Genomic DNA, 13,648 nt, shown 5'->3' on the forward strand with positions numbered 1-13,648 from the left:
ACAATATCTAATGTAAATTCTCACACCTATTTTGTTAAAATAAAATCTAGTATTGGGCTGGACATATTCTTCTTTTCTTTGCATTTTTCACTTGCCAATAAATTATAAATACCTTTATAGACCAATACAGACAGATTTGACAAGTTCTATTAATAATTGCATAAAATACTTTACTTTGGATGCAATGTAGTTTTTAACCAATTAATATTGATATAGATTTAGGCATTTTGCATTTTTTGTCTTTATGAATAGGGCCGTGTAAACACTCTTTAATACTTTCCTTACATGAATATATTTCCATATTCTTGCTTTTATCTTAGTTGACTAGAGCCCTACATGTAGGGTTACAGGATTTCCATGAATTGAGAAGGATTGGCATTTTTTTGCTATTGTGTCTTCCTGTTCAGGAATATGTATGTCTCACTATTTATTCAGATCTTGTTTTATATACATAAATAAAATTTTTCACTATATAAGCATTTTCTGTTTCTTATTAACATTTATTCCTCAGCATTTCATTATTTTTGAAACTATTGGGTACAGGACAATTTTTCCATTTCTACATGTAACTGACTATGGGTAATTAAGGTTTTGTTTTTTGCATATGTATCTTGTATCCAGCCACATTACTAACTTATCTTATTATTTTGTAGTATACAGTAGATGTACAATATACAATGTCAACTGCAAAGAATTCCCTTCTCTGATATTTATACCACTTATTTTGCTTTGCTGGAGCTTATACTTCCAAAGCACTATTGAGTAATATTGTGAGAGTAGCCAGTTTAAATTTTAAATAGGGATTCAATCACTTGTGATTGAAAAGTCCATGACAAATACCAGAATAACATTCTTAGCAAATGTGTAGTTGGCTGAATCCAGATTAAACACCTAATGTCTAATCTCAGTATATTATTTTGGAGGGATGGAGTATACAATTTATCTATTGTTCTGGCTCCTTACAAGGTTCAGTAGACTTGGTAACACAGTCATATTCTCTCACATATTGGCAGATGTTTGGTGAAAGAGTGACTGTTCAGCCAACTCATGGGAAAGTGAAATAATGCTCTTTCTAAAAAGCAGGAGGACTACAGTTGTAGGCCTTTCAAAATTAGGCATGACTTTCGGATCTTCACAAGACTAGGCTAGGAGATGCAAATGGCAGAAATCTAAGAGGTTAGACTTGTCTAAGCACTTTTCTCCCCTTTACCCTCCATAAATTATAGTATCCTCCATTAATTGTAGTAACAGGCACCACTTATGTGTTGCCTGCACCCCACAACCTTTGGCTGAGGGTAAGGCCCTGCCACTTCCTGAACCCACACTGAATTTATTGTGCCTCACAGCGTCACCCAGAGGCCTTTAGAGATATAAAAACCTATATATGATTTTATATCACCTATGATAGAGGGTTATCTATAAAATATGAAACATCAAACTATATATGGTTTCATTTATTTTGATTATAAATATCTTTTATGAGATATGAAATAAATGTGTTTATGTGTCTATTAAAGAATATGGATGTATGAAAGTTTTTATACTTGTGGAAGATTACATATATTAATGTATGTATTTATGACTATACGTGTAAAGCCAGCGGAGTTCTCACAGAGGAATTCAGAACTCAAAGAAGGCTTTCCGGCAAAGAGCCTTGGATATGGCCCAACCACAGAAGTAAATTGTCATTGACAGAAGGATGGACACTTCATATTGCTCCTTCCTTGTTTCAGATGCCAGGATGTGTCTGGGAAAAGCATGCAGTTGGTTACATCTTGCTGGGAAACAGGATTCAGAGTCTGTGTCTTATCTGTCTGATGAGAAGGAAGCATTACTTGATGATGGAGTATGTGTTTGCACATGTATGTGTTTGTGTATGTGCAGGTGTGTTTGTGTGCAGTGTCCCAGACCCTGCATAGGGGATTTTCTTGAAGGTCTCCTGTAACAAAATCTCCTTGAGGCTATCCAGGGGAATTACATCCAGGGATGTAATTAAATACTTTAACAAGGATGGCAGATGGCCCCGTCTTCAATGTCAGGGATCAAATTTCAACGTGAGATTTGGAGGGGACAAACTTCTAAACTATATCATTCCGTGTGGTCATTCTTTTACATTCCAGCGTTCTAATGTGTGTGTGTTGATTAATGATGTGTAAATAATTCAGCAGAACATTGAAATAGTTTTAATGGCAAAAAGAGGAGGTCCCTAGTCTTTTTGAATTTTTGATGAGTTCCAACAGAATTAATGACTGGTTTTAGGTGAAAAGAATTCAGGCTTTGTCTATACCATCCATGGCAGGTGCGGCTCTGGGGGTGGGATATGGTTACAGATAAATAAGAGATCTGTGCTTCCCCCCTTGCTGTAAGATTCTGGCTATAGTCCAAGATCCAAATTCAAAGTTAGCTTTTGGTGGACAAGACTAAGGCCTCCCACTAAAATTATTTACTTCAAGTTTTTATTTTCAAAGTTTTCAAACATACACAATGGAGAGACTCAGTGTAATGAGCACCCACTTATCCATTCTTAGGTTAAATAATTTTCACTATTTTGCTCTACTAATTCATCTATCCCTTTATTCTATCTTTTTAAAGAAAACTTTTAAAAATAAATTTGTATGTTTTTAAAAAGAAATTCTTGGCATGTCATTCCATCACTGAACAATTCATTTAATATAAAAAATAAGAAAAATTTGTTACATAGCCACAATATCATTATCATATCTAAGACAATAAAAATTCTTTAATATTATCTCATTTACAGTCCATAATAAAATTTCCCCGGATTGTCTCACACAACATCTTTCCATACAGATCAATGGAATAGAATGGAGAATTCAGAAATAAACCCATACATATACATCCTTGGCCAATTGACTAGGTGCCAAAGTTTGACAAGTGTGTCAAGATCATTCAAATGGGAAAGAATAGTCTTTTCAACAGAAGACCCACCCTGGGGTCCTTGAGCTCCAGCGTCAGACTCCAAAACCATTTGTGGAAATCATCCAGCCACCTCCCACCATGCCTCTGATGAATCCTTCACCGATGGATTCATCAGAAGCATGGTTGATGATGAATTCACTGATGAATCACCCCTGTGTGCATCCACAGGGGTCCTGCAAATATTTTCTCACAGTCTGTTGAGTGACTTTTCTTACAAATACTTCATTGTAGAATAAATATAGGATTATAGCAAGGTTACAACAAATAGTTTAGAGAATTTTCATCTACCCTGTGTCCAGTTTCCACCATTGTTAAATCTCATGTTTCTATGGCACATCCATCACAACTCATTCACCAATATTGACGCATAATGATGAGCTAAAAGCTAAAGTCTGTTTCCTTCAGATTTCATTAATTTTTACTTAATTTCCCTGTTCTTTTATGGGATCCCAGTGATACCACCTGAAATGTAGTCATCATGTCTCCTTTGTCTCCTCCAGCCTGTGACGGTTTCTCAGACTCTCCTTGTTTTTAGTGACTTGGGCAGTTTCGAGCAGTCCTAGTCAGGTGTCCTGTAGAATGTTCCTCTAGAATGTCAGTGTGTGTTTTGCCTGATGTTTTCATCGTGGTAAAACTGGGTTTATAGACTTTTGGTAGGAAGACACAGAGGTCTTTTCTTGTTTTCTTGCGTGTGAATATTCAACTGTAGAAAAACAGAACCTTTTCTCCACTGCATTGCCTTTGTACCTTTGTAAAAACTTGGTTGTTCATACATCTGTGCACGTATTTCTAGACTTTGTATTCTGTTCTGTTGATCTATTTGTGAAATATTTGATTACTATAGCTGTGTAATAATCTATAAATGAGGTAGTGTTACCTCTAATTTTTTTTTTCAAATTGCTTTTGCTATTGGAGGTCTTTTGCATTACCATATGCATTTTAAAATAAGTTCATTAATGTGTGCAAAAATCCTGCTAGGATTTTGATTGGGATTGTATTTTATTTATAGATCAACTGGGGAGAAACAACATCTTAGCAATTTTGAGTTTTCCAATTCATTAACATATCTTTTTATTTAGGTCCGTCATCAGTGCTCTGTAGTTTTCAATGTACAGTCTTTCACATCCTTTGTCAGATATATCCCTAAGTATATCATGTTTTTGATGCTATTTAAGTGGTATTTTTAATCCAGTTTTCAAGTGTTCATTGCTAGTATAGTTGACCCCTGAACAATGTGGGAATGAAGGGGACCAACCCGTGTGTAGTAGAAAATCCGCATAGAACTTTTGATTCTCCAAAAACTTAACTACTAATAGCCAACTGTTTACCAAAAGCCTTGCCAATACCATAAACAGTCAATTAACACATAGTTTGTATGTTATTAGTATTATATCCTGTATTATGACAATGCAGCTAGCTAGAGAAAAGAAAATGTTATTAAAAAACGTAACATATGAAAAAATGCTCAACATCACTAGTTACCAGAAAAATGAAGATGAAAACCACAATAAGATATCATCTCACACCAGTTAGAATGGCTGTTATTAAAAAGTCAAGAAATAATAGATGCTGGTGAGGCTGCTGAGAAAAGGGAACACTTGTACCCTCTTGGTGGGAATGCAAATTAGTTCATCCCCTGTGGGAAGTAGTTTGGAGATTTTGCAAAGAACTTAAAACAGAACTGTCATTCGACCCAGCAATCCCATTACTAGATATATGTAAAAAAAATCGTTTTACCAAGAAACACATGCACTGGTATGTTCATTGCAGCTCTATTCAGAATAGAAAAGACATGAAATCAACCTAGGTGCCCGTCAACAGTGGCTTAGATGAAGAAAATGTGGAACACATACTCCATGGAATATGCAGCCATAAAAAAAGAATGAAATCATGTCCTTTGTAACAACATGGATGCAGCTGGAGGTCATTACCCTAAGGGAATATATACAGGCACAGAACACCAAATACCATTGTTTTCACTTAGAAATGGGAGCTAAATAGTGGGTACTTTTGGGCATAAAGATGGCAACAATAGACACTATGGACTCCTAAAAGGGAGAGGAAAGGCTGCAAGAGTTGAAAAACTATTGGGTACTATGCTCAGTACTTGGGTGATGGGAGCAATCATGCCCCAAACATCAGCATCACACAATATACTCAGGTAACCTGCACATGTACTCCTGAATCTAAAATAAAAGTTGAGTATGTATAAGAGGAAGTCATTCATCATAAAGGTCTCCATCCTCATCATCTTCCATTGAGTGGGCTGTGGAGGAGGAGGAGTAGATGTTGATTTTGCTGTCTCAGGGTGGCAGAGGCAGAAGAGGTAGAGGAGGTGGAAGTGGAGGCAGGAGAGGCAGGTGCACTTGGTGTAACCTTATGGAAATACATCATAATTACTGTCTGTTTTTTTCTCTTTGATGTATTTAAAAATGCTTTTATACAGTACTAATCCTTCTTCCCCATTTGCTTTAGTTTCAGTGCCCATAAGGGTTCATGTCTTAATAGAAGTCAATAGCAGTCTTAAATAATTGGAAGCATTTCTATGAGGCTTGTATTGTGTAAGGCCAATTTTTTTTCTGGCACTGCTTCTTCTACATCTTCTTTCTCATCAAGTACTGATTGGAAAGCACTCATCTCTATCAGGTCATCTATTGATTCCCTGAGTGTGGCATCTATTGGCTCTTGAATTTCTCCAAGAGTCATATTTTGAAATACCTTATCCCCAACATTTTGTTGCTGTATCCATAATCCCTTCATGACTTCCTTGATTGGCTCTGTCATAAATCCTGTGAAGTCATGTGCAACATCTGGTCACAGTTTTCTCCAGAAGAAATGTACTGTTTGGGGCTTGGTGGCTTTCAAAGCTCTTTCTATAATAACAGTGGCATCTTCAGTGGTGTAATCCTTCTGGACTTTCATGACATTCTCTATCCAGATTCTCTTCCATAGTATTGACAACCTTTTCCATAGAAAACTGTGTGTAATGAGTTCTAAATTTCCTTAAGACACCTGATTGAGAGACTGAATTAGAGATGTTGGGTTTGGAAGCACGTAGACCATTTTGACACCTTCAGTGTTGAACTTGTGGGTTCTGGGTGGCTAGGGAATGGTCCAATATCGAAAGAACTTTAAAAGACAGTCCCTTGCTGGCAATGCATTTTCTGCCTTCACGGACAAAGCCTTGATGGAACCAATCCAGAAAACGCGTTCTTATTGTTGAGTCCTTCTTTTTGTACAACAATAAAACTGTCAGTGAGTGTTGATCTTTTCCTTTCAAGGCTTGAGGTTTGGCAGTTCTACTGATGAGGGCAGTCCTGACTGTAAACTTGACTGCATTTACACAAAACAGTAGAGTTAGCCTATCCCTTCCTGCCTTACATTCTGGTGCTTGGTTTTCTTCCTTGCCAATAAATGTCTTTTGTGTCATCTTTTTTTTTGTTTGTTTGTTTTTGTTTTTTCCAGAATAGGGCACTGTCATCTGTATTAAAACCCTGTTCAGGCAGATATCCTTTGTCCTCAATGCTTTTCTTCATGGCATCTGGGAACTCATCTGCCTCCTTTTGCTTGGCAGAGGCTGGTTCTCCTGTTATCTGGACAATTTTAAAGCCAAACCTCTTTGTAAAACTAGCAAACCATCCTTTGTTGCCATTAAATTCTCCAGTTTTAGATTCTTCACCTCTCTTTTGCTTTAAGTTGTCATAAAATGACTTTAATTTTTCTCAAATCACATTGGCATCTATAAATAAGCCTTTCTTATAGCAATCCTACACCCACATTAAAGTTGCATTTTCAATATGAGACAAAAATGTATTTCACAAAAAGATGCGAGGTTTGGCTCCTGCTGGCATAGCTGCAGCAATGTCTTCATGAATCTTTTCTTCTCTTTTCTTTCTTTCTCTCTCTCTCTTTTTTCTTTTTCTCTTTCTTTCTTTTGCAATGGTCCTTATCTATCTTCATTGATTTTGAAATGGCAGGCAATCATAGCGGCAGAGCTCAATCTACGGTACCTATCAAGTAATTCAAGTTTTTTTGGTAATGTCATGATTTTTCTTTGCTTCTTGGGAGTACTTGCAGCATCATTAGTTGCACTTTATAGTCCCATGGTGGTATTCAAGGTTTAAAAAATTACACTAAACATGATGAAAAATACAGTAGAACCATAAGAGATCATTTTTTACTCTGACATGCAATTTACTAGAGAGAAGAAACGCGCAGAGGGTATAAACGTCATATCACATGCATTTAGGCCACACTTTAGCTCCCTGCAATAGCAACAGGAGGTAGCAACAAAATTATTATAGTAGTGTAGTATGTACTAGAGGAAAGTGACTAAGCAAATGTCTAGTACCAGTTAGGGTGTCCTGGAAGGAACCATCTTGTGCTTCTACAAGAATTATGCCCTGAGGTTGGCTGTTGAATCCCTCACGAAATGCTCCTCAGTGTGTTGCCTAACACACACTGCTGAGCTCACCCATTAAAATCTGCATGATGGAATTCAGCCCAATGCAATGAGAATTCCCATGGACTTCCTCTGTGCAAGGCAAAGCATGGGTGCTGTGGAAGGAGGATGAAAACAGGTAGAAGATGTAATCTCATCCTCAAGGGGTGCTCGGTAGAATGGAGGAAACAATACATAGATTCCTGAAGATGAGCACCAAAGTGATTGGGGTGGGCCCATAGCAAAGGCCTGCAGCTCTGTTCAGAATGCAGAAGCAGAGTGGGCAGAGAGAGACAGCTCATTAGAGTGCTTGGGCAAGCATAGGGACGGCGACTCACCACTGCAGACAATGTATCTGAGGAAAGCCATTTAAAATAGGTGACAGTCACATTCCATCAAATTTCTGGAAGGGTCCATGGAGGCAGGGTTGTCAATCTCATTACAGCATTTCAGAGGCCTCAGAAGATTTGGAAATGAAAAAAGACAAGCAGCACTTGTGGCTCACCTGTGTCACAATTGTGGCTCACCTGTGTCTCTGCAATGCGCAAGTGAGCTGTGTATTGCAGAGACACAGGTGAGCCGCAATTTCCTCCCAGTTAGGAGGTCAACGCTAAGACCCTTGCTCTCTTTCCGTCGAACATGAGATGCCAATTTCTTTCTGGGCAGAGGACAAAATAAAAATTGTCTATAAACTTTGGCCAGGTGTAGTGGCTCACGCCTGTAATCCCAGCATTTTGGGAGGCCGAGATGGGCAGATTGCCTGAGCTCAGGAGTTCGAGACCAGCCTGGGCAACATGGTGAAACCCCGTCTCCACTAAAATACAAAAAGTTAGCTGGGCATGGCAGCGTGCGCCTGTAATCCCAGCTACTGAGGCTGAGGCAGGAGAATCGTTTGAACCCAGGAAGTGGAGGTTGCAGTGAGCCTAGATCTTACCACTGCACTCCAGCCTGGATGACACAGTGAGACTCCATCTCAAAAAAAAAAAAAAAAAAAAAAAATTGCAAATTTTTCTTTGTGACAAATTCCAAAATTATTAGCTTCGTTCAAATTTACTTTCCTTTTTATCTTTCAATGTCGTCAAGGCCAAAAGCATTGCTTAATAATTTTGTTTCTAAACTCATATTGCAGCACAGGGCATGATCTGTCCCCAAGGCAAAGATGATGAGTTACTCTTTTCTTGAAAACATATAAGCAGGTATCTCAGCAAAGGCTACTCATGTATTATTATGAGTAAATCATTGGCAGTGAATGTGAATTTTTTTTTAAATGAATGAATAAGTACACGCCTTCTTTTGAGGGCAGGTTCTATCTGTACTTCTTCCACTTACTATATTATAGGAGCTTAGAATCCCAGCTGCTGGCTCTGGGCTGAAGTTCTCTGATGGCTCGTGCAGGGTGGACTGGCCTCCTTCCCCTATATGTGTGTCTACTGCTGACCTGTGGCTTTGCCAAGGCAGGGAAGCTGCTGGTAGTGCCCATGGATGGGAGCCACTGGTTCACCATGCAGTCGGTGGTGGAGAAACTCATCCTCAGGGGGCATGAGGTGGTCGTAGTCATGCCAGAGGTGAGTTGGCAACTGGGAAGATCACTGAATTGCACAGTGAAGACTTACTCAACCTCATACACTCTGGAGGATCAGGACCGGGAGTTCATGGTTTTTGCCGATGCTCGCTGGACGGCACCATTGCGAAGTGCATTTTCTCTATTAACAAGTTCATCCAATGGTATTTTTGACTTATTTTTTTCAAATTGCAGGAGTTTGTTTAATGACCGAAAATTAGTAGAATACTTAAAGGAGAGTTGTTTTGATGCAGTGTTTCTCGATCCTTTTGATGCCTGTGGCTTAATTGTTGCCAAATATTTCTCCCTCCCCTCTGTGGTCTTCGCCAGGGGAATATTTTGCCACTATCTTGAAGAAGGTGCACAGTGCCCTGCTCCTCTTTCCTATGTCCCCAGACTTCTCTTAGGGTTCTCAGACGCCATGACTTTCAAGGAGAGAGTATGGAACCACATCATGCACTTGGAGGAACATTTATTTTGCCCCTATTTTTTCAAAAATGTCTTAGAAATAGCCTCTGAAATTCTCCAAACCCCTGTCACGGCATATGATCTCTACAGCCACACATCAATTTGGTTGTTGCGAACTGACTTTGTTTTGGAGTATCCCAAACCCGTGATGCCCAATATGATCTTCATTGGTGGTATCAACTGTCATCAGGGAAAGCCAGTGCCTATGGTAAGTTATCTCCCCTTTAGCACATTAAGAATAATCTGGCTTTGGAAATTAAAAGATTTCTTACAGAATCATAATTTATCATTTACATTTGTCCCATTTGGAATTTCTTTCTGGTTTAAGGAATTCTTTTGTACCAATTCACTTAATTGTTGGGTAGCAAATTGTATAAAGCAGCTCTTGTTGATATGTAAGTGTATACAATTGATATAATTGTAGATCATATCTAGGCTGCAATCTAAATGCTATTTTTGGAAAAATACAAAAAAACCACAGTAAGAAATGAAACTTCCCTTTTTTTGCTAATTCTACACTACCCCCAGAGGAAAATATTCTTAGCAGTTTTGTGTGAATTGTTTTCAATTTTTTTGAAATTATACTATGTATATGCATATATTTAGGGTAAATTGTCACTTCTATTTTATCAATATAAAATCTACTATCATGCTGGCTATGTTTTTTTATGTTAGATTTTTCTCTTGTCAATAAGTTAAAGATATCTTTACAGGTCAATGCATACAGATTTGACATGTTCTTTTAATAATTGCATGGTAGTCTTTACTTTGGATGCAATGTAGTTTTCCAACCAATTAAGATTGATAGAGATTTAAGTGTTTTCCACTTTTGGGGTTTATGAGCAATAATAAGAATTCTTGTATACTTTCTTTACATTATATATATTTTCATATTTTTGCTTTTATCTCAGTAGGGTATCATCCTATGAGTATGGTTGCTTGGTTTTCACTAAATGAGTGAGATTGGCCTTCTTTTGCTATTACATCTTCCTACTCAAGAATATGAATCCCTCATTATTTATTCGGATTCTGTTTTATTTCCATAAATAAAATTTTGCACTTTATAAAAGTATTTCATCTTTCTTATTAACCTTTATTCCTCTGCATTTCATTATTTTTGAAACCATTATGTGCAAGGCAATTTTCCCATTTCTCTTTTGAATTCACTATGCATAATTAATGTACTGCTTTGAGTTTTACACATTTATCTTGTATGTAGTCATATTACTAAACTCTCGTATTAGTATGTAAGGTGTATTAAGTATGCAATATCATCTGCAAATTATTCCCTCCCCTGGTATTTATACCTCTTATTTTGGCGGAGCATATAGTTCCAAAATATTATTAATATTGTTGGTCTAGCCAGCTTAAATTAGGATTTGGTCACTTGCAATTGAAAAAGTCGTGACAAATACAAGAGTAAGATTCTTGGCAAATGCATAGTTGCTAAATCCAGGTGAAACACCTGGTGTCTGATCTAAGTATATTATTTTGTTAGGGATGGAGTATACATTTTTATCTATTGTTCTGGCTTCTTACAAAGTTCAGTAGACTTTGTAACACAGTCACATTCTCTCTCATATTGGCAGATGTTTGGTGAAAGAGTGACTGTTCAACCAACTCATGGGAAAATGCAACCAAGCGCTTTCTAAAAATCAGGGAGACTACAGTTGTAGGCCTTTCAAATGAAACATGACTTTCAGCTCTTGGCAAGACCAGGCGAGGAGATGCAAGTTGTAGGACGCTAAGAGGATAGACTTGTCAAAGTGTCTCTCCCCTGTTTACCCTCCATCAATTACAGCACCAGCCATCACTCAGGTATTGCCTGCAGCCTCACCCTCTAGCCAAGTGTGTGGCCTGCCACTTTCTGAACCCATGCTGAGTTTGTTGTGGCTCAAAGGGTCACCCAAAGGGATTTAGAGATGTAGAAATTATATATGATTCTATACCACCTATAATGGTATATGATAGAGAGATCTATAAAATATGAAACATTGAGCCATATATAGTTTTACATATTTTGGTTATTTGTATATCTTCAGTGGTGTATAAAATATATGCATTTATATGCCTTTAAGGAATATACATATGATAGGATTTATAGATGTGGAAGGTTATGTATTAATGTATATATTTATAAATAGAAAATAAATATAATTATCAAAGAAGAATTCAGATCATAAAGAGTGCCCTTTGGCAAAGAGCCCTGGATATGGCTCAACCACAAAAGTAAATTGTCATAGAAAAATTTATGGACACTGTATAGTGTTCCTTTCTTGTTTCATATGGGCAGGGTGTGTCTTGGAAAAGTATACAGTTTTTTGTACCTTGTTAGACAACAGGATTCATAGTCTGCATTTCATCTGTCTGATGAAAAGAAAGCATTGCTTGATGATGCAGTGTGTGTGTATGTGGTGTTTGTGCACGTATGTGTCTGTATGTGCAGGTGTGTTTGTGTGCAATGTCTTAAGCTCTGCACAGGAGATTTTTTTTCTGAAAGGTTTCCTATAACAAAATCTTATTGAGTCTATCCAGGTGAATTACATCCAGGGATGTAATTAAATACTTTAACAAGGATGGTAGATCATCATTCAGGAGAACATTAAAACGGTTTTGTTTTGTATTTTTAATAGAGACGGGGTTTCACCATGTTGGCCAGGCTGGTCTCTGACTCCTGACCTCAAGTGATCCGCCCGCCTCCGCCTTTCAAAGTGTTGAGATTACAGGTGTGAACCACCACACCCGGACTTAAAGTGGTTTTAATGAGAAAAAAAGAAAATCACTTCCACTTTTCTTGACTTGTTGGTGAATTACAGCAGAATTGATGGTTGAATCCAGTTATAAAGAATTCGAGCTGAATCTACACCATCTAGGGCCAGTGCAGCTCTGGAGAACTGGGACTGGGATGTGGTTACAGCAAGAAAAGATCTATGCTTTCCCCATTGCTCTCGCATTCTGTTTTTGATCCAAATTCAAATTTACCTGTTACTGGGCAAGCCCAAGGCCTCCCTCCAAGATTATTTATTTCAACTTTTTATCATCAAAGTTTTCGAACATATACCAAGGAGAGGCTATGGCATAATGTGTACCCATATAGCCATTCTTAAGTTAAATAATTTTCAATATCTTGCTGTACTGCTTCGTCTTTCTCCATTTTTTCTTCCATTTTAAAGAAAAATTTTGACTTTTTGTTTTAAAGAAAATCTTGGCATGTTGTCTCATCACGAAATACTTCACTAAATATAAAAAATAAGGAAAATTTGTTTCATAGACACAATACCTAAGACAATCAATAATTCTTTAATATTATCTCATTTTCAATCCATCATTAAATTTATCCTGATTGTCTCAAAAAAGTCTTTTATATGTAGATCAATGGAATAGAATTTAAAGTCCAGAAATAATCCTGTACATCCTTTGCCTTGATTTTCATCATGGTGCCAAGAGCATTGAAATGGCAAAGAATAGTGTCTTCAGCAGAGGGTTCTGGGACAACTGCATATCCAAGTCCAAGAGAATGAAGTTGCACCCTTACCTTGTATCATATATAAAAATTAACTTGAAATGGATCAAAGACCTAAATAGAAAATCTAAAACTGTAAAACTCTTAGAAGAAAAAATTAGAAAAATATTTGTGACCTTGGATTTGGAAATGGTTTCTGAGATTTTTTTTTTTCTTGTACCAAAAGTACAAGAAACTAAAACAAGAAAAACAAGAGATAAATCTGACTTTATCAAAATGTTTTTATACAAAAGCTTTTGTATATCAAAGGATACTATCAAGAGAATGAAAAGACAACTCGTGTGGGCGCCCTTATTAAGGTGTGCAGATAAACACACGCATGCTTGACATGGAGGCTCTCCCATGAAACATCCTATTTTTTCCTTTCCTATGAAACTTTCTGAACAGGTGAGCCCAGGTGGAGCCTCCACCTGCGTTAGAACCTAACCTTTCCGTGGCTTTCTGAAATCCCTGGTTTCAGAAGTTAGTGTGGATTACTGCTGCTTTCTTTGACTGTCTCTCTCTCTCCTTCAATCTATCTTGATAATGTGATATCAAACATGATACACTACCTCTTTGGCCCACTCAGGATATTCTGGTGGTGCCCTCTGGCCTGCACCCTCCCACCGGCTATGAAGGTCAACCTCTTGCCTTCCCTAGCCTCACTGGCTTTATTTTATGCAACACTCCAACTCTCCTCTTTCCACCTCCCCTGTTACTTTTCCCTACCTATTTT

General features: G+C 37.6%; 4 protein-coding genes and 1 further gene across 4 annotated transcripts in view; all 5 read left to right on the forward strand.

Moving 5' to 3' along the window:
- Window positions 1-13,648, forward strand: part of UGT1A (UDP glucuronosyltransferase family 1 member A complex locus) — a 187,861-nt gene that overhangs the window by 87,736 nt on the left and 86,477 nt on the right.
- The window catches only part of UGT1A8 (UDP glucuronosyltransferase family 1 member A8), a 155,668-nt gene that overhangs the window by 55,542 nt on the left and 86,478 nt on the right, over window positions 1-13,648 (forward strand). The window lies entirely within an intron of this gene.
- Window positions 1-13,648, forward strand: part of UGT1A10 (UDP glucuronosyltransferase family 1 member A10) — a 136,853-nt gene that overhangs the window by 36,727 nt on the left and 86,478 nt on the right. The gene's annotated exons all lie outside the window — the stretch shown is intronic.
- UGT1A9 (UDP glucuronosyltransferase family 1 member A9) overlaps window positions 1-13,648 on the forward strand; it is a 101,403-nt gene that overhangs the window by 1,277 nt on the left and 86,478 nt on the right. The window lies entirely within an intron of this gene.
- The window catches only part of UGT1A7 (UDP glucuronosyltransferase family 1 member A7), a 91,400-nt gene continuing 86,478 nt past the window's right edge, over window positions 8,727-13,648 (forward strand). The window contains exon 1 of the mRNA NM_019077.3: window positions 8,727-9,618. Within this exon, the coding sequence (NP_061950.2) occupies window positions 8,764-9,618 (855 nt within the window). The 5' untranslated portion in view covers window positions 8,727-8,763. The remainder of the gene's footprint in view (window positions 9,619-13,648) is intronic.

This window comes from Homo sapiens, chromosome 2, assembly GCF_000001405.40.
Source record: "Homo sapiens chromosome 2, GRCh38.p14 Primary Assembly".
In the NCBI taxonomy this organism is placed as follows: Eukaryota; Metazoa; Chordata; class Mammalia; order Primates; family Hominidae; genus Homo; species Homo sapiens.